Source organism: Homo sapiens, chromosome 7, assembly GCF_000001405.40.
Source record: "Homo sapiens chromosome 7, GRCh38.p14 Primary Assembly".
NCBI lineage: Eukaryota > Metazoa > Chordata > Mammalia > Primates > Hominidae > Homo > Homo sapiens.
Genome location: NC_000007.14, coordinates 44,693,823 through 44,714,167, shown reverse-complemented (window position 1 = coordinate 44,714,167; position 20,345 = coordinate 44,693,823). Strand labels below are relative to the sequence as shown.

The window sequence follows — 20,345 nt, the reverse complement described above, 5'->3', positions numbered from 1 at the left end:
GGAGCATCAGAATCTTGTAGCCTCTAGGGATATGACTCCTAAACCAAAATTTCTAACATGTTTGACTAATTTGTTAGTCCTATAAAGGCAGTCTCGTCCCAGGCAAGAAGGGGGTTTGTTTTGGGAAAAGGCAGTTATATTTGTGTCAAACTACAAACTATAAACTAAGTTCCTCCTAAAATTAGTTCAGCCTATGCCCGGGAATGGACAAAGACAGCTTGGAGGTCAGAAACAGGATGGAGTTGGCCAGGTCAGAACTCTGTCACTGTCTCAGTTACAATTCTGCAATGACAGTTTCAGGAGGCCCCTTCGGGGAAGTAGAAATGGCCAGCATTGGGCGGGAGTTAGAAGGTTCTTACAACACAGAATGAACACAACGTTTGTGGTGCCTTGAACCCCAAAGAGCAAGTGCCAGCCACTCAGTAAATAAGCCCTGGATGAAGGGTGGGGAGGGGGTAGGGGGTCCCATCCCAACTTTGGAAATCTAGGCAGGACCTGGCCCACCGTGGCATAAGGGGCTCTGGTATTGAGTCTTGGAAGGAAAGAGCTATGGTAGCTTCCCAAAATGATGGCCAAAGTCCTGTTCCATTTTCCTATTACCAGCCTTTCTGCTCAGTCTTTAGTTACCACCTCTCCAATAGAGGGAAAATGTAATAGACAAGCAAGTATCCCTTCATCCTGGAAGCCCAAGGGAGTCCCTGCCATGTGCCAGGCACTGCAGCCAATGTGGGGGACAGCAAACAAACCAGTGGCAGGATGGTGACACACACACAGCTCCTGAGTGACAGGGTGGGCTGGGAGGGAGTGGGCTCCGCAGACAAGGCAGGGAAAGGGATTCCAGGGAGAGGGAGCGAGGAGATGAAGGGGGGCCACCTAGTTCCTCTCCAGGTCCTCTTTGTGCAGCCTGGAGCACCAGTGGGGAGGGAGGACAGCCCCCTAAGCAACCAGACTGCTGGGGAAGGTGAGCTAGTGGTTTCCTACAGGGGACAGACAGGATCCAATCTGAGTTTGAAGATCATTTTGCAGTAACACGGCAGTCCTACAGCCCTGAAGAGACGAGCAGGTGGCTCCTGGCACAGCCCCAGCAGGGGAAGGGAATAAGGGGTACAGAATGCCCAGTGGCACTGCCAGGTTACTGGCATGGCTGATTAAAAACACCTAGGGAGGGACACCGGGTGTGGTGGCTCATGCCTGTAATCCCAGCACTTTGGGGGGCCAAGATGGGTGGATCACGAGGTCAGGAGATCGAGACCATCCTGGCTAATATGGTGAAACCCCGTTTCTACTAAAAATACAAAAAAATTAGCCGGGCGTGGTGGCGGGCGCCTGTAGTCCCAGCTACTCGGGAGGCTGAGGCAGGAGAATGGCGTGAACCCAGGAGGCAGAGTTTGCAGTGAGCAGAGATCGCACCACTGCACTCCAGCCTAGGTGACAGAGCCAGACTCCATCTCCAAAAATCAACCAACCAACCAACCAAACAAAAAACCTAGGGAGGGACAAGATCTGGGGCTGGGTGGAGAAGAAAAGGAGACTCCCCTTGGACATCTAGACTCACCCCCTGCTCTGCAGAGGCACATGGTTAGCTGTCGGGGGCCTGCTCCCCACCTCCTTTCTTCCCACTGTCTTATCCAGTGCCCCAGGGGCCAGGACCCCCACCCACAGATGATGCATAGGACCCAGTGCGTTTCCCTGCTCTGATCCATAAAGCCAATGGCCTCCCTGACATTTCCACCTGGAGGTCACAAAGATTTCAAATTCAGCCTCCCCCACCCCCTACACACCCCTCTGACCTACTGTCTCCCAGTTCCACGTTGCGGTTGGCCAGGCAAGCCTTCCTGACATCTATCTGCCTTCCGCCCAAGTTTTTATCTCACCTGGATCTCTAAGCTCCACCCATTTCCCTCCAACACCTCTGGGTGCCGGTAACATCTGCTCCCACAGACCACTACAGCCTCTGGACATACCAACCTGGTCACTAATCTGTTTACCTTCCTTTCCTGGCCTCTGGCTGTGACAAATGAGGCAATGCGGCTTTGCTAACTCCAGAACTAAGCAAAACTGTTCCTTGATCCACAGCCCAGACCCTTCATTGAACCTAGGTGCTAAACTCTGTTAAGCCTGACCTTCAGGACCAGAGTGAGCAGAGGAAATGAGAGAGAAGACCTGGCACAGAGGGAACAGCCCCTATCCTCGGGGCCTGTTCAGTAGTGACTTTTCCCACTAGGGCTGGTTCCCTACACAGGGTAGAGGTCTGGGAAGGGAAGGGACTCAGGGTGCCCAGGTCAAGAGTTTCAGAGGCAGACCAGAACCCAGTTCTGCGCTGGGGAGAGCTGGAAAGGAGACAGGGTCTTGGCAGGTCTCAAGGCTGACAAACCCAACCGACACACCAGTGGATACAGCACTGGAGAGGGAGACTCTGGCCAGGGGCCTGGGTGGACTTGGGCACTTTGGAGTTAACAGAAGTTCCCATGGCAATCTGGGGCCCTGAGCCCATGAGCCAGGTTGGGGGCCGGTGAAGCTCTAGGGAGGAGAGGTCTGGGAAGATGGGTGAGGCTGGGTGGGGGAATGAGGACTTAGGAGGTGGGTAACGTGGCCCCTTTGGGTATCCTGGAGAAAACCCCCTGCTCTGGCCGTCATTCAGGGAAGTCTTTGATGATTTATTTTGGGGACTGAGAGAGCCAGGTGTGCTAGCATACACTGGAGTGGGCAGAGCAGGGGTCCCTGAGCAGAGACCTGCTGGTCACAAGATCACGGAATCCTACACAGGGACATTTCTACCATCTCTGTACAGTGAAATCCCAGTCGAATACTATCCCGACAGGGAGCTCACTACCCTACCAAAGTTAGGCCTGAAGTATCACTGGACATTGATTCCAATTCTGTTTCTGCTGGAGGAAAGGGAGGGAATCCGGGTGTAGGGTTCCTAGTCACTCCAGTGGGGCTGGCAGCCTCTTCTCCCTTCTCAAGCGTGGACACCTTTGCACAAACATGCGGATGGAGTGAAGCCTCAGCCTATCATTCCCCATCCCCCATCCCCCACCCCCTCCAGAAGGCACTCTCAGACCACACTGAGTTCATGGGGCTGGTGATGCCCCTCTTTCACCCTCACCCACCCCAGCCATCACCAGCAGTAGTACTTGGGTGAGGGGGGCTGGCTCTGAAGTTCCCTCCCCAGTGGAGCAAGCTGACGCTCTCACATCTAGCTTAGATATTTCGGATCCAGAAGTACCTTTTTTATATCCAGAAAAGCGCAAGGATGTTGGCAGTGATGTTGGGTAGGTTATGTCCCTGTCTGCCCTGCCCCAACGGCGACAATTCAGGAGCTTCAGGGGTGAGTCAGGGCCAAGCTGCTCGCCAGTGACCAGAACAAGGCCTCTTTGTCCTAAAAACGGTTTGCATTTCCCTTCAGCTCACCCACACCACACCATGCCTGCTGCATCTGTGATGCTAACCCAAGGCTGTCACCTGATGTCACTCTGCTGTTCGACACACACACACACACACACACACACACACACACACACACACACACGGTCCTGACCCACTAAGTCTCATCTAAACACACAAGATGCTGCCTAGACTGCATGGAGCTTCTTCCAACAATTGTTTTCCAATTTTAGAAAATGGGACAATTAAAAACTGAAACAGAACAAAACCAGGGAACCATCTGCAAGACGTCATGTGTGAACACCTGGTCCAGCATGTTCTGACTGTTCCTGATCTTTCCAGAGCCCTTACAAAGCCCTGTTCTCCTTGCAGGGTGCTGAGGGCCACAGACCTGCAGTGAGAACTTACAAAGACCTGCACATACTTAGAATTTCCAGAGGAGCTTTGCCTGTTCCTGTGGTCACAACTACCACCAGGACAACCTAGGGGTCACCGTGCTGAGCCGCTTCAGGAACCAACTCAAGCCCCACTCCCTGGGAAGTGTTCCTAGATCCTCAGAACCAGTTTGGGCTCTGCTCACCCGGATGTTCCGCTTCCCTGGCCAGCTGGGAAGCATCGAGGCGAGTCCCAGCTTACCTTGCTGCAGCACACCGAGGCCATTTTTCCAAAATCTTTTTTTTGTTGTTGAGACACGGTCTTGCTTTGTCACCCAGCTGGGAGTGCAACCACAGCTCCCTGCAGCCCTGACCTCCCAGGCTTGAGTGATCCTCCCACCTCAGCCTCCTGAGTAGCTGGGACTACAGGTATGCGCCATCACACCCTGCTGATGTTTAAATTTTTTTGCAGAGATAGGGTCTATGTTGCCCAGGCTGGTCTTGAACTCCTGGCCTGAAGCGATCCTCCTGCCTTGGCCTCCTATAGTACTGAGATTATAGGTGTGAGCCACCCAGCCCGGCCAGGATTTTGGGTAAGTGGTGAGGCACAGGGAGGTGGCACTGGTCACCAGCAGACGTGTGCAGGAGCGCCTGTCTACAGCTCTGGGGGTGATGGCAGCAGCTCTTCACGCCCACCCCAGGACCCACTCCACTTGGCACTGGCTGGTGGTCATGCTTCCATCAGAAGAACCTTGGGCCATGCTGCAAAGCGACAACAGGACAAATCCGGGGACCCAGGCAGGTGCTCCCTAGAGAACAGGGTGGTGGGTCAGAGGCTTGACCCCACTTAAGCTCTTCCTCAGGGGTGAGATTGGTTGAGTGCTCAGGAAGCCAATACCTGGCTTGTTATGGGATGAAGCTCTTGGCCAGAGGGGACCCAGGTGTGTGCTGGTGAGAGGCCCCATCTCCAGGTTGGAATCGTTGCTTGGGCTCTGGGGAGCACTAATTAACAAACGTGTGGTTAGGGTGAACCCGCAGGCACGCTGGCTCAAACGGAGAGGCACAGAGTGCAGAGTACTTTTTCAAGGTGGAGCCAGGGGAAGGACCCAGAGCAGGGAAAGCTCAGAAACAGGACTGCACCCAAACAGCCCGGCAGCCCAGGCCGCCTCTGCCGCATTCACAATGACGGCTTTGCCGGCGAGGGCCTGCAGGTGGTGGTCATCACTCCCCCTGTCCAATGAGGAGGGGGCTGCTTCCCAGGTGGGTTAGGAGGGGACTGGCCCATCCCCATCCCCTCAGGGGAGAAGGCAGAACAGACAGAAAGACACAGCAGACATGCCCACGGATATAACTTAGTTTATGGGTCAAGCCAATGCAATGCAAAGTTGTTTCTGTTCCTTTTTTTTTTTTTTAACCAAAATAAATAAATCAGATCTGTCCCTGTGAAGGTCAGAGTGATAAATGAGGGGCAGCTGGCCCCTTGGCCATGGCCTGGCCCCTCACCCCCAGCCCCTCCTCTCCCTCTTCTGACCTGCTTTGGCACAGCAAAGAAAACGATGCATCAGAAAGTCTCCATTGGGTTAAAGGAGAAAGAAAGAGTGGTTGGGGTGGGGAGGGAGTCCAAGAGAGGAGGTGGAGGGTTAACAGGACCAAGACAGAGCAGCCAGTGCCCCGGTGGTGGCTACCTGAGCGGGGCTTCCTGGCTACACACAGACTCTGTGGGCTCCAGGTGCTGCCTGGGCCCAGGAGGGGTGGGTGGGGCATGCTTGGGCCCCACACACAGCCTGGAACCCTCGAAGGAACAGCAGATAATGGACACTGCAGAGACTGAAGCTGCCCTTTCTGTGCCAGGTCAGGCCAAGGCTCTCTCCTGCCAGCTGCCCCGGGTCATCCTCAGTTCACGCCACGGCTGGGGCCCACCCTAGAAACCTCTGCCAGCCATGGCTAGATCCGACTCCAGGCTCCTCTACAGATTCTAAGGCTCAGGCTCAAGATGAAGCTATCCTAGTCTCAAATACAGGAGCCTGTGCCTTGCTGGGTGACAGCGGAAGCCAGCACACAAGGCCCAGTTCCTATCCTAGTGGGTGAGACTGGTGGGGAGGATTGTGGCCAGAGCTGACCCCTCCCCAAGGACATCCCTCGGGGGCTACCTTTCCTCCTCCTGCTCCCCCCGGCCTCCTGGAAAACTGCTCAGAAGTCAGCAGAGCCTGGGCAGCGTGTGGCCTGTGGGGCAGCCAAGCACTGGAGGGGGACGACAGCCTAACTCCTATGAGAGCAGAGGGAGGGGTGGTGGCACAGCGAGGAGGGCGGTGGTGTGGGCAGCGCTGAGGCACTATTCTTTAGTTGAGAAGCAAGGGGCAGTCATGGGTGTGGAGAGGGCAGTGGCCCAAGCAACCCTAGGCAGCATCTACGAGAAGTTCTTGAAGACGTCCAGGTCGAAGGCCGTGTCCAGGAGGCGCTGCAGCTCCGTCAGGTGGGTCTTCTTGTTGCCGGTGGCTGGAGCAGCCGCTGGGTCCCGGCCGGCATACCTGAGAGATGGAGGGAGGGGGCAGTGAGGGCAGGGGACACTGAGTTGGCCCAGCCCATCCCTCTGCTGCATGTGCCTGGCTAACTGCCTACTGGCCTGAGGGGAGGGTCCCACAGCCTTCCTGGCAGGGACTGAAGCCTTACCAGACGGGCTTGGCGCGGCTGATGGTGGTCCGAAGTCTTGGCTTCACGTAGTCATAGTAGCCTTGGTTCTTGTGCTCCTCCTGGCACCAGGCCAGCTCAGCATTGGGGTACTTCTGCACCTCCTTCAGCAGGAGGTCAAAGGGGAATGGCGACAGCTAGGAGACAGCAGGGGTCAGATCAAAAAGAGGAAACTCAGAGGGCAGGCAAGATCCAGCAAAGGGAAACTGGTGTTCCGAGCAGGGAAGGTCAGGAACCTGAGGGCCACACCCCAAGCAAGGCTGTTCTGTGAAGGCACCAGAGCCCTGACCCCCGCTGGGGGGACACCCTGATGGCACCACCTGCCCTCACCTGCTCAATCCTTGTGATGGCCACCTGCCCCACCATGTCGCGTGCTTTGCGCTCCCGGGTGAGGTCATAATACACTTTGCCGGTGCAGAAGAGAAGCCTTTTGACATTTTCTGGGTTCTGAGCTGCAGGGCCATCTTCTGGGATCACCCGCTGGAAGTGGGTTCCTACAAGAGAGTTCCCATGGCTAGGCTGGTTCTCTCAGGTATGTGGCTGAGAGCTCTCCTGGGCCCAGGGCTGTGCCAGGGACTGCTGCCAGGAGACGCAGCTTTCAAGGGTTAGAGATGCTTCCCCTTCACCAGCCTCTGATGCCCTGTATTTGCTCAGACCAGGCACACTTTGAAAAGCACGTTACGTGTAACAAATACACAGCAGACATGGCCAGCTCTGGGTATCAAGTAACACCAGGCTAGCCTTCAAAACAGCTTGGCTCAGACTTCGGGGACAAGAGTATTATTAAAACATCCCGGCCGGGTGCGGTGGCTCACGCCTGCAATCCTAGCACTTTGGGAAGCTGAGGCGGGCGGATTGCCTGAGTTCAGGAGTTCGAGACCAGCCTGGGCAACATGGTGAAACCCCGTCTCTACTAAAAAAATACAAAAAATGAGCCAGGCATGGTGGTGTGCGCCTGTGGTCCCAGCTACTCGGGAGGCTGAGGTGGAAGAATCGGTTGGGCCCGGGAGGCAGAGGTTGCAGTGAGCTGAGATCATGCACTACAGTCTGGGCAACAGAGCAAGACTCCATCTCCAGACAAAAAAAAAAAAAAATACCAGCCGGGCGCATGGCTCACGCCTGTAAATCCCAGCACTTTGGGAGGCTGAGGCAGGCGGATCACCTGAGGTCAGGAGTTCGAGACCAGACTGACCAACATGGTGAAACCCTGTCTTTACTAGAAATACAAAATAAGCCAGGCATGGTGGCGCATGCCTGTAATCTCAGCTACTCGGGGGGCCGAGGCAGGAGAATTGCTTGAACCCGGGAGGCGGAGGTTGTGGTGAGCCAAGAATGCGCCATTGCACTCCAGCCTGGGCAACAAGAGCAAAACTCCATCTCAAAAAAAAAAAAAAATTATATAAAAAAAATCCCATGTTTACTCTGTTTCTGCTGCTCAGAATTTTACAAATATAAAAACTTTCAACACAATCAGAGAAAATATTCAGATAGAGAACAGTGGGTTGGCCAGCACTTTGGGAGGCTGAGGCAGGAGGATCCCTTGAGCTCAGGAGTTCGAGACCAGCCTGGGCAACATGGTGATACTCCGTCTCTACAAAAGTACAAAAATTAGCCAGGCACGGTGGTGCACACCTTGTGTTCCCAGCTACTTGGGAGGCTTTGGTGGGAGAATCACTCTAGCCTGGGAGGCAGAGGTTACAGTGAACCATGATGACCATGCCTCTGCACTCCAACCTGGGTGACAGGGTAAGAATCTATCTCAAAAAAATATAGAAAAGTGGGTTGAATGGTACAAACATACAGTTAGATAGAAGGAATTAAGTTCAACGTTTGATAAAGGAGTAAGGTTAACAAACATGTATCGTACTCGGGTGACGGACACCCTAATACCCTGACTTAAGCACTACGCATCATATGCACGTAACCAAAACCAGTTGTGTTTCTATACACTAACAATGAACAATAAGAAGAGGAAATTAGGCCAACAATTCCATTTATGATACAAACAGAATAAAAGTCTGGGCACAGTGGCTCACACATGTAATCCCAGTACTCTGGGAGGCCAAAGTAGGAGGATCACTTGAGCCCAGGAATTGAGGCTGCAGTGAGCTACGATTGCATCAGCCTGGATGACAGAGTGAGACTCTGTCTCAAAAAAACACAAACAAAAAATAAAAAACAAAACAAATTAGCTCAAAGTGGGTCAAAGATCTAAACATAAGAGCAAAAACTATAAAACTCAGAAGAAAACATAGGGCAAAAGTTTCACAACACTGAATTTGGTAATGATTTCTTAGATATGACACCAAAGTCACAGGCAACTGAAGAAAAAATAGACAAATCTGACTTCATGAAAATTAAAAACTTGGCCGGGCGCGGTGGCTCACGCCTGTAATCCCAGCACTTTGGGAGGCCGAGGCGGGCGGATCACGAGGTCAGGAGATCGAGACCATCCCGGCTAAAACGGTGAAACCCCGTCTCTACTAAAAATACAAAAAATTAGCTGGGCGTAGTGGCGGGCGCCTGTAGTCCCAGCTACTTGGGAGGCTGAGGCAGGAGAATGGCGTGAACCCGGGAGGTGGAGCTTGCAGTGAGCCGAGATCCCGCCACTGCACTCCAGCCTGGGCGACAGAGCGAGACTCCGTCTCAAAAAAAAAAAAAAAAAAAGAAAATTAAAAACTTTTGTACATCAAAAGATACTAACAACAGGCCAGGTGCAGTGCCTCACGCCTGTAATCCCAGCACTTTGGGAGGCTGTGGTGGGCAGATCACCTGAGGTCAGGAGTTCAAGACCAGCCTGGTCAACATGGTGGAACCCTGTCTATACTAAAAATACAAAAATTAGCTAGGCATGGTGGCGTGCGCCTGTAATCCCAGCTACTTGGGAGGCTGAGGCAGGAGAATCACTTGAACCTGGGAGGCAGAGGTTGCAGTGAGCTGAGATTGCACTAATGCACTCCAGCCTGGGTAACAGAGTAAGACTCCATCTCGGAAAAAAACAAAAAACAAACAAAAAAAACACCCAAACCCAAAACCAAAACCAAAGATACTAACAACAGAATAAAAGAACAACCCATAGAACGGGAGAAAATATTTGCAAATTATATTTCTGATAAGGAATTAATATCTAGAATATACAGAGAACTCTTAAGACTCAAAAACAAGCAACCAGATTCAAAAATGGGCAAATAATTTGAATAGGCTGGGTACCGTGGCTCATGCCTGTAATCTCAATACTTTGAGGCCAAAGTAGGAGGATTCCTTGAGCCCAGGAGTTCAAGACTAGCCTGGGCAACATAGAGAGATCCTGTCTCTTAAAAAAAATTAAATTAAAAAAAAAAAGGATTTTAATAGACAGTTCTCCAAGGAAGATATACAAGTGGCCAATAAGCATATGAAAAGATGCTCAACATCACTTAATCATTACAGAAATATAAATCAAAGCCACAATGAAATATCATCTCACACCCATTAAGATGGCTACTATGAAAAAACCAGAAAATAGTAGGTGCTGATGAGGATGTAGAGATGGTGGGATCCTCATATACTGTTGGTGGGATGTAAAATGCAGCCACTGTGGAAAGTTTGGCAGTTCCTCAAAAAACTAAAAATAGAATTACCATATGGTCCAGCAATTCCACTTCTGAGTACATATTCAAAAGAACTGAAAGCAGGGACTCAAAGAAATATTTGTACACCAATGTTCATAGCAGCTCCTCTAATCATAATAGCTGAAACATGGAAGCAACCCAAGTGTCCATCGACAGATGAATGGATGAGCAAAATGTGGCATACACATATAATGGAGTATTATTCAGTCTTTTTTTTTTTTTGAGACGGAGTTTCGCTCTTGTTGTCCAGGCTGGAGTGCAACGGCGTGATCTTGGCTCACCACAACCTCTGCCTCCCATGTTCAAGTGATTCTCCTGCCTCAGCCTCCTGAGTAGCTGGGATTACAGGTATGCGCCACCACCCCCGGCTAGTTTATTTATTTATTTTTTTTGAGACGGAGTCTCTGTCACCCAGGCTGGAATGCAGTGGCGCAATCTTGGCTCACTGCAACCTCTGCCTCCCAGGTTCAAGCAATTCTCCTGCCTCAGCATCCTGAGTAGCTGGGATTACGGGTGCGCGCCACCATGCCCAGCTAATTTTTGTATTTTTCGTAGAGATGGGGTTTCATCATATTGGTCAAGCTGGTCTCAAATTCGTGACCTCAAGTGATCGACCTGCCTCAGCCTCCCAAAGTGCTGAGATTACAGGTGTAAGCCACTGGGCCCAGCCTATTCAGTCTTTTTTGTTTTGTTTTGTTTTGAGATGGAGTCCTACTCTGTTGCCCAGGCTGTAGTGCAGTGGTGCAATCTCAGCTCACTGCAACCTCTGCCTCCCGGGTTCAAGCAATTCTCCTGCCTTAGCCTCCAGAGTAGCAGGGCGTGCACCACCACACCCTGCTAATTTTTGTATTTTTAATAGAGACGGGGTTTCACCCTGTTGGCCAGGCTCGTCTCAAACTTGTGACCTCAAGTGATCCACCTGCCTCGAACTCCCAAAGTGCTGGGATTATAGGCATGAGCCACCATGCCTGGCTATTCAGTCTTAAAAAAAAAGAAATTCTGACACATGCTACACAACATGGATGGACCTCGCAGACATTATACTAAATGAAACAAGCCAGTCGCAAGGGACAAAGACTGTATGATTTCACTTATGAGTTCCATAGAGTAGTCAAATTTATAGAGGCAGTAACACACTGAACTGGATACTTAAAAATGGTCAAAATGGTAAATTTTATGTTGTGTATTTTACCATAATAAAAAAAGACTGGGGGCTGGGCATGGTGGCTCATGCCTGTAATCCCAGCACTTTAGGAGGCCAAGATGGGTGGATCATGAGGTCAGGAGATTGACACCATCCTGGCTAACACGGTGAAACCCCGTCTCTACTAAAAATACAAAAACAAAATTAGCCAGGCGTGGTGGCGGGCGCCTGCAGTCCCAGCTACTTGGGAGGCTGAGGTGGGAGAATGGCGTGAACCCGGGAGGTGGAGCTTGCAGTGAGTCGAGATTGTGCCACCACACTCCAGCCTGAGCGATAGAGCGAGACTCCGTCTCAAAAATAAATAAATAAATAAATAAATAAAATTAAAAATAAAAAAAGATTGGGAAAAAACCCCCAAAAAACAAGGGGCTCACCTTGATTGAAGACTAAAGGGGGTTTGGTGACTGGTGGGATGCAGGCTTCCTGGCCTGGTGACCCCTGGTGGGTGGTAAAGGCTGTGTCAACATCCTGCACTCCACTGTCCCTATAGAAATCTCAATGTTATGGGTCTCCCTTCACACAAGTGCAGCTGGCATGTGACTTGGCAGGACCTGCCGTCCAGTGTTTTTTTCTCTGTCCTGAAGGGCTTGCTTTGGGGCTGGGCCTCTGAGCCAGTGGTGAGCTGCCACTCACCTGCTGAAGGAGGCCGCAGGCAGCGGCACTAACCCTCAATCTTGGACATACTTAATTGCCTCTAGTGGAGTCCTTGGGGGCATTTGCAGGTGAGAGGCAACAGCTCCTGGGCTGCATGTTAAGACATGTCATTTGACCAACGTGAATGTAAGCTGTGACCTCCCTCATCTGGTATCATGGGACTTTTTTTTTTTTTTTTGTGCCGGAGTTTTGCTCTTATTGCCCAGGCTGGAGTGCAATGGCGTGATAGCAGCTCACTGCAACGTCCACCTCCTGGGTTCAAGCAATTCTCCTGCCTCAGCCTCCTGAGTAGCTGGGATTACAGACATGTGGCACTACGCCTGGCTAATTTTGTATTTTTAGTGGAGATGGCGTTTCTCCATGTTGGTCAGGCTAGTCTCGAACTCCCGACCTCAGGTGATCTGCCCTCGAACTCCTGACCTCAGATGATCTGCCTGCCTCGGCCTCCCAAAGTGCTGGGATTACAGGCGTGAGCCACTGTGCCCAGCCATGTATCACGGGTCTTTACAACCAAAAATCTGGCAAGAGCCAGTGAGAATCACAAATGTCAGTCCCATGAGCTGTAAAAGAGCAGCAGCAAAGAAGCCCCAAACATAGCTTCCCCCAAGGAAATGCCCATCTCCCTCACACCCACCTGGAAGCATCTCATCAAAGCTGGATCTGGCCTCGGGGTGGCGCAACAGGGATTTGGGGGTGAAGATAATTAACTGAAATACAGAACAATAGGCTCGTGAAGGATCAGATTCTGAAGATTCCAGAAGGAAGGTCAAAAGCAAGGCTACCCAAGCCTTGACCTTCAGGCCATGAAACACACCTGCCCTCCCACTCAACAGGAGCCTCAGGTCAGAAGAGGCAGAGAAGGAGGGAAAAGGAAAGATGACCAATTTCCCTGCTGTTCACCTCCCCTAGCTGGGTATCCACTCCTGGCAGGGCCCATCCCAGCCTGCTCGGACTCCCAATACTCCCTTCCCTGCTTCTCTGTACCTAGGAAAGAGCTCTGACCCTCTCCTTGGCAGTCTCAGAGCAAATGCACCCAAAGCCCATGTAAGGCTGTGACATGGCCCAGCACCAAGAAGCACCAGGGCTGTCCTGCCCTGTGGGCCCTTGGACTGCTGGGGACACTCCGAGCTGCAAGCCTCCACCCCATACTCCCACCCCCGCGGTATCCCAGGGCAGCAGGGCACTCCCTCGCTGTCCCCCACACTCCTTCCTTTTTTTTGTTTTTTGAGACGGAGTCTCGCTCTGTTGCCCAGGCTGGAGTGCAGTGGTGCGATCTCGGCTCACTGCCAGCTCCGCCTCCCGGGTTCACGCTATTCTCCTATTCTCCTGCCTCAGCCTCCTAAGTAGCTGGGACTGCAAGTGCCCGCTGTCATGCCCGGCTAATTTTTTTGTATTTTTTTTGGTAGAGACGGGGTTTCACTGTGCTAGCCAGGATGGTCTCCATCTCCTGACCTCATGATCCACCTGCCTCGGCCTCACAAAGTGCTGGGATTACAGGCGTGAGCCACCTCGCCCGGCCTCCTTCCTTTTTATGAATCACTTCTCCAACGTATCCCTCCACTCAACTTCTACTCACCCTTCAACACCCAGCTCAGGAGCCGCTCCCTGGGGACCCTGCACTCCCTTGGCCTCTGCCAGGGCTCACCTCTCTTCCAGAGCTCAGCACACCCCCTATGACCACCTGTTCAAACATCCGTCCTCCCCACCGGGCTGGGGCCTGCAGCCTATGTGATTGCTCCGCATGTGGTGCTCAGCAGTATGCAGGGGCCCAGTCGGGGAAGAGGACACACAGAACACGCAGTTCCCTCATGGCAGCAGTGAGGAGGAAGGGCGAGGCTCCCTGACACCATGTCCTGTCCACACTACCCCTGCAGGTGCCCACCTAGCTAACCCCAAGCAAGAGGCTCTCTGAGGAGCCCTTCCCTGCACCAACAGGGCAGGGCCAGGCCTCGTTTGAGCAAGGGAGGCCCTGCCACTGACCGGCTTCCGGAATGGCAGCAGGATCTGGCGTCGTAGCACGTGGAAGAAGTTGCCAGGAGTGGAGCAGTTGACAACAACCCAATTGCAGTCATATAGCTGATTGATGTCGAAGTTGGCTTCTTTAAGGTCCTGCAGCAGGGAAGGAAATGGCCAGAGGCCAGGACACAGCACTGAGTCTTCTGGGGCATGTGGGGGCCCTCAGGTGATCTAGTTTGGATATTTGTCCCTGCCCAAATCTCATGTTGAATTGTAATCTCCCACTGCTGGAGGTGGGGCCTGGTGGGAGGTGTTAGGATTAGAGCTTGGGCCATCCCCTTGGTGATGAGTGAGCTCTCACTCTGAGTTCACACGAGATCTGGTTGTTGAAAGTGTGTGGCCCCTCTCCCCCACTCTCTTACTCCTGCTCTGGCCATGTGACATGCCTGCTCTCCCACTTCATCTTCTGTCATGATTGTAAGCTTCCTGAGGCCTCCCCAGAAGCTGAGCAGATGCCAGCATCATGCTTCCTGTACAGCCTACAGAACTGTGAGCCAATTAAACTTTTCTTTATAAATTACCCAGTCTCAGGTTTTTCTTTATAGCAACACAAGAATGGCCTAACACACTGACTCCCCAGGAGACATAAGCTGACACTAACAAGTGAGTCCAGCAAGCTCCTTCGGCCAGCCTCATACCCTGGAGGAGAGCCTCAGTCCCACTCAATCCATACTATTTCTCTGAAAGCTATTGCCCAGCATGAAACAAATACCACTTTAAGAGACACAAGTTCTACCTAAAACCAATTTTCCTTAGACACTGACACCTAATCATTTTCTTTGAGTTTTTTTTTTTTTTTTTTTTTTTTGAGACAGGAGTCTCCCTCTGTCGCCTAGGCTGGAGTGCAGTGGCGCAATCTTGGCTCACTGCAACCTCCACCTCCCGGGTTCAAGCGATTCTCTGCCTCAGCCTCCTGAGTAGTTGGGACTACAGGTGCCCGCCACCACGCCTGAATAATTTTTGTATTTTTAGTAGAGACGGGGTTTCACTATATTGGCCAGGGTGGTCTCAAACTCCTGGCCTCGTGATCCACCTGCCTGGGCCTCCAAAGTGTTGAGCTTACAGGCGTGAGCCACTGCGCCTGGCCAGTTCTTTTTTTGTGAGACGGAGCTGCCCAGGCTGGAGTGCAGCGGCACAATCTTGGCTCACTGCAACCTCTGCTTCCCGGGTTTAAGCAATTCTCCTGCCTCAGCCTCAGACTAGCTGGGATTACAGGTGGGCGCCACCATGCCCAGCTAGTTTTTGTATTTTTAGTAAAGACAGGGTTTCACCATATTGGCCAGGCTGGTCTCAAACTCCTGACCTCATGATCCGCCTGCCTGGGCCTCCCAAAGTGCTGGGATTTCAGGCTTGAGCCACCACACCCAGCACAGTTCTTTTTTTTTTTTTTTTTAAGACAGGGTATTGCTCTGTCACCCAGGTTGGAGTGCAGTGGCACGATCTTGGCTCACTGCAGCCTTGACCTCCCAAGCTCAAGCAATCCTCCCACCTCAGCCTCCCAAGTAGCTGGGACTGCAGGCGTGCACCATCACGCCCAGCTACTTTTTAAAATTTTTGTAGAGACGGGGTCTCACCATGTTGCCCAGGCTGGTTCTTTGAGTTCTTAAAGTTTCACTGGAATCGCCCCAAAGTTCTCTCCTCCTCAGGGCTTCCAGACCTGAATCAGGGTCTGGAAGCATCCCGCAGGAGCCCTTGCTGAGGAGCTCACATGGCGTTTCTGTGCTTGCAGCAACAGCAGGAAGCCAATGGAGGCAGTCCCTGCACCTTCCTCTGTGCTCTGAGGAAGTCTCTCATCCCAGGGCGCCCAGAAGCATGGGGCCACACCTGTCCACTCACGTGAGCTCCCCAGGATGGAGAAAGGGACAGAGGCACGGTCTGCCACTTCAGGATGACCAGATAGATTGCTCTTCCCCAGGTTTCCCACCAGACACCCCGAGAATGGCTGGGCTGACAGGGCCTGTATTACTCACTGGCAGGACATCTGGGTCATCGTTGCACATCTGCAAGAACCGCTCTGGGCGGGCGGAGGAATGTTCTGGACCCTGGAACCACACACGCAAGTTACAGTTTAAGAGCTCTTGCGTACTGACATTTGCCGCATCTGCTGTTCCTCCTCAACCAACTAGCTCATTTCTGGTTATCTTTTTTCTTGATGGCAGGGTTCAGTTCCTTCCCCCTCCCACCAGCAAAGCACTTGGCTCATCATTTCCACACTTGGACGCCTGTGCATCTAGGGAGTCTGCACCAGCAGGGACGGGGCATGCTAGCCACATCCAGATGGGCTACTCTGGCTTTCTGAAGTGACATCCCATCTGAGATGGATGGGAAGCACCAGCAGAGTCCTTAGGAGGCTGGTGTGAGCCACTGGCTCTCGTGCCAGTCTTTGGGGTCAGGGTCCTACACAGGCCCTTCCCAAGTCCTAGGTCTGGCAGGGAAGGGCCAGAGGCTCACCATGCCCTCCATGCCATGGGGCAGCAGCAACACGATGCCATTCTGCCGCACCCACTTGGCTTGTCCCGGGCAGATGAACTGGTCGATGATACACTGGGCCGTGTTGTGGAAGTCACCAAATTGGGCTTCCCAGAGGACCAGGGCATTAGGACTGGCCATGGCGAAGCCCAGCTCAAAGCCTACAAGGGACAAAGGAAGGAGAAAACCATGTCCAGGACACCAGCCAGTAGGCCCAGCGGGGGTGGGTGGGTGACAGGCCCTGGTGGTGTGGCTCCAGGCACTCACCCAGCACGCCGTACTCAGACAGTGAGCTGTTGCACACAGTATAGGGGGCCTGATTGGGCCAGAGATGGTTCATGGGGATGCAGGTTCTCTTGTCCACATTCTGGTCATGGAGCACATGGTGGCGGTGGCTGAGACAGGACAACAGAGGTAATAATTAGGAGCTCTGACTTGACAAGCAAATACGCTGGGGACCCGCACGAAGCACCAGCAGATGCCATGCTCTGTGACCTGGACTTCTGGCCAGGCAGCTGCAGGGTCGGCCCCACCCAGGTCTTAACAGAAGCACCCATAGCAAATGAGGGACAGAGGTTTTCAGCCTGAGAGCAATGTGACTCTTCCGGTTTCTAACCGTCTTCCGGAAAAGAAACACCAGAACCCCTCCCTTTCCATCTTCTACTCTTTGGAGGGCAAACAAAACTGCCCAGAACGTTACCTGAATGTGCCCCGCTCCACGTCCTGGCCGCTCAGCCGAATGTGGATGCCCTCCTTCAGGAGCGAGCCAAACGCCATGTACTCCGCTAGAGCCCAGTCCACAGTCCGGTTCTTCACCATTTCCCCACGAGTCTTCAAGATCCGGCTCAGCCCTGCAGAGACACAGCTCTCACCAGCTGCTGCAGGCCCTGCCTGCACATGCCTGCCTTGCTTCTCAGCGTGCCCATGGCAAGAGCGGAGCCTTCTTTACTCGTAGTTTCTGGGTTCCTGACTTGCTGGAAAAGCTGTGACCTCAGTCTCTCCTTTACCACTGAGGAAGTGTAGGATCGTGCTAAGGGCAGGGAGTGGGAGAGGTGGCTCCATCCAACCACCCCAGAGGCCTTGAGCAGGGCAGGAAGGGAGTCTCTGTAGGACACATGATGGGTGGGGGCCAAGGTCACAGTCCTAGACAGTCGTCGCCCCTGGCCTGGGCCCCAACATTTCCACAGGTCAGCACAGAGCGTGTTACCTCCATGAATAGTAAAGTTTTCCACAGGCACAGAACTAGCCACATTCCCGATGTGTGTCAGAATATCCTCCGTCAGACCCGTGGAGGGGCAGGACATGCTCCTGGGCTGCCCGTCCAGGGTGAAGAAGCCTAGGAGAAGAAGAACAACTGAGGCATGACATCTGCTCTACTTTTCCAGGGACCACAAAATGGCAGACACGTGATTTTGGGGAGAAGCAGGGTGAGAGACAATGTAGCTCACACTGTGTTCCCCAGAAAACATTAATGCAGGGGTCTGGGTCCAGGGTCTGCAGGGGGCTTTGCTGAAATGGTGCATACAACTGTGCATTGTGGGTACAAAGTGGAAAGCATGAATTTTTTCTGGGAAGAGGATGCCTCGTTACATCAGATCCTCAAAGGAGCTTATTTGTGGCACTGTTTCTTCACTCACCAGGCCAGGGAGAGTCCAGCCAGTGCTTAATGTGCAAGATCTTCTCATCTTTAGATCTGGCAAAAGCTTCCTCACAGATCTTATCATACTTGGAAATTTCCTCCTGGAGGGTTGGGCACAACACAGCGTGACTGGCACAGGGCATGACTACTGCACACGCCCACCTGTACCCCCACACTTTCTGACAGCCACCACGCAAGCCCAACCATACCCCTGGCACAACTCCCGTGCATGCCCACCCATAGTCCCACACTTCGTGGATGCAAAACATCTCAGCCTCTGGGCCTGCTCCTTCTCAATAGGCATAACACCTTTCTAAGATTTTATTCTTTTCACTCCCAAAAGTTTCTTCCTCACATTTGCTGGGTAGAGATTCTGCTCGGAGTTTGAACCCCTAACCCTTCACCACTTTTTTTTTTTTTTTTTGAGACGGAGTCATGCTCTGTCACCAGGCTGGAGTGCAATGGCGCGATCTTGCCTCACTGCAACTTCCGCCTCCCGGGTTCAAGCGATTCTCCTGCCTCAGCCACCTGAGTAGCTGGGACTACAAGTGCGTGCCACCACGCCCAGCAAATTTTTGTATTTTTAGTAGACGGGGTTTCACCATGTTGGCCAGGATGGTCTCGATCTCTTGACCTCATGATCCACCTGCCTCAGTCTCCCAAAGTGCTGCAATTACAGGCATGAGCCACCACGCCCAGCCCACCACATTTTTTCTTAAGAACTGGTCCAGGCCAGGCGCAGTGGCTCATGCCTATAATCCCAGCACTTTGGGAGGCCAAGACAGGCAGATCACTTGAGGTCAGGAGTTCAAGACCAGCCTGGCCAACACGGGGAAACCCTGTTTCTACTAAAAATACAAAAATTAGCTAGGCGTGGTGGCTCGCACCTGTAATCCCAGGTACTTGGGACGCTGAGACATGAAAACTGCTTGAAGTAAGGAGGTGGAGGTTGCAGTGAGCTAAGATCATGCCACGGCACTCCAGCCTGGGTGACAGAGCTAGACTCCGTCTCAAAAAACAAAACAAAACAAAAAAAAAACTGGTTCACAAAGCTCTGTCTCCAGCATAGGCTACAGGCTATCAGGTTGTTCTGATCTGGGATCTGTCCTGTTCCCATGCTCAGATATAGCTCCTCACACCCACCCTCTCCCTCTCTAGGGCAGCTGCTTGGCCTTCCCACTCACAACCAACCAGCACTTACTATCCAGATTACAACAGGCCCCTTACCAAGCTGGATCCACCACCCACCTCTCAACCATGCACAATTTGTGAAATCTGAGAAAACCTACTGGGCTGCTACTACCTCAACCTGAAAACATCCCCTTCCCTTCCCCAAAACACTGTTTAAGGCCCACTTCCTTTATAAAGCATCTCAGTGGCCCAGATTCTCCAAAAAGTTATGCATTGAAATGCTGTAGTTGTAAATATTTCACATCCTCTCACGTGTATCCTCATAACTGGCAAAAGTGAGAACTGGCCCTGTGGCCCACCTTTTCTAGTCATCGCCAGCCCTGGAAAGGCGCACTGGGATAGAGCCGCAGGGACGTACCTCATACTCAGGCTGGTTGACCACACCCTGCGACACCAGCAGCTCAGCGTACTTCTGTAACACAGGCTTCTGCTTGCGGATCTGCTTGTACATGAGCGGCTGCGTGAACATGGGCTCATCCATCTCGTTGTGGCCGTTGCGCCGGTAACACACCTGCTCAGAGCAGTGAGAGGATGTCAGAGACAAGGGCTGGCCCCTTGGGAAGAAGTGCTGTTCAGGCACCTGCCCCATCTCTCCTAGGTGATGGCCACGTTCTTCATTCCTCATGCCTGCCCTGGAGTTTACCTTCTCTAGAATTAGGATTCTGTGTATCTCTCCTTCACACAGTAGAGCTGCTCTGTCAATGAGGAGTGGCCCTCCTCACCACCACAGCTCCTGCCTGGGAAGCATTCCTTGGTGCTTACAGGCCTGAACTATTTGGAGCTCAAAGGAACCAGCATGAGGCCTGGCAGTAGAGAGCCCTGAGGTGACTCATCTAGACAAGCTCCTCTCCTTGGGACACAGGGGTGCCGAGGGCAAGAGGGGTGGGTCAGATGCTCTGCCCAGGACGTGCTGTCCCCAGAGTCACTCACCAAATCGACAACCACGTCCTTGTGGAAGGTGCTCCTCCACTCGGCCGCCACTTTGCACACGTACATGACAGCCTCGGGGTCATCTGAGTTCACGTGGAAAATGGGGGCATTCACCACTCGGGCCACGTCAGTGGGGTAGGGGGAGGAGCGGGCCATCCGAGGGTCGGTGGTGAAGCCGATCT

General features: G+C 52.7%; 1 protein-coding gene across 9 annotated transcripts in view, besides 1 other annotated feature; it reads right to left on the bottom strand.

The window, feature by feature from the left end:
- OGDH (oxoglutarate dehydrogenase) overlaps positions 5,102-20,345 on the bottom strand; it is a 102,440-nt gene continuing 87,196 nt past the window's right edge. For all 9 annotated transcript variants that reach the window (NM_001439009.1, XM_011515408.3, NM_001439008.1 and 6 more), the window contains 13 exons: positions 20,164-20,343; positions 19,592-19,744; positions 18,041-18,143; positions 17,611-17,739; positions 17,104-17,254; positions 16,671-16,798; positions 16,386-16,564; positions 15,905-15,976; positions 13,899-14,027; positions 12,553-12,625; positions 6,780-6,943; positions 6,432-6,586; positions 5,102-6,289 (listed from right to left, as the gene is read on the bottom strand). In NM_001439009.1, the coding sequence (NP_001425938.1) occupies positions 6,169-6,289; positions 6,432-6,586; positions 6,780-6,943; positions 12,553-12,625; positions 13,899-14,027; positions 15,905-15,976; positions 16,386-16,564; positions 16,671-16,798; positions 17,104-17,254; positions 17,611-17,739; positions 18,041-18,143; positions 19,592-19,744; positions 20,164-20,343 (1,737 nt within the window). In that variant the 3' untranslated portion in view covers positions 5,102-6,168. The remainder of the gene's footprint in view (positions 6,290-6,431; positions 6,587-6,779; positions 6,944-12,552; positions 12,626-13,898; positions 14,028-15,904; positions 15,977-16,385; positions 16,565-16,670; positions 16,799-17,103; positions 17,255-17,610; positions 17,740-18,040; positions 18,144-19,591; positions 19,745-20,163; positions 20,344-20,345) is intronic.
- Positions 13,174-13,674: an enhancer, noted in NCBI's record as "H3K4me1 hESC enhancer chr7:44740093-44740593 (GRCh37/hg19 assembly coordinates)". NCBI's record gives its function as "activates a minimal SCP1, AML or CMV promoter by ChIP-STARR-seq in primed H9 embryonic stem cells {active_cell/tissue: H9 hESC(primed)}" and the evidence as "EXISTENCE:reporter gene assay evidence [ECO:0000049][PMID:30033119]".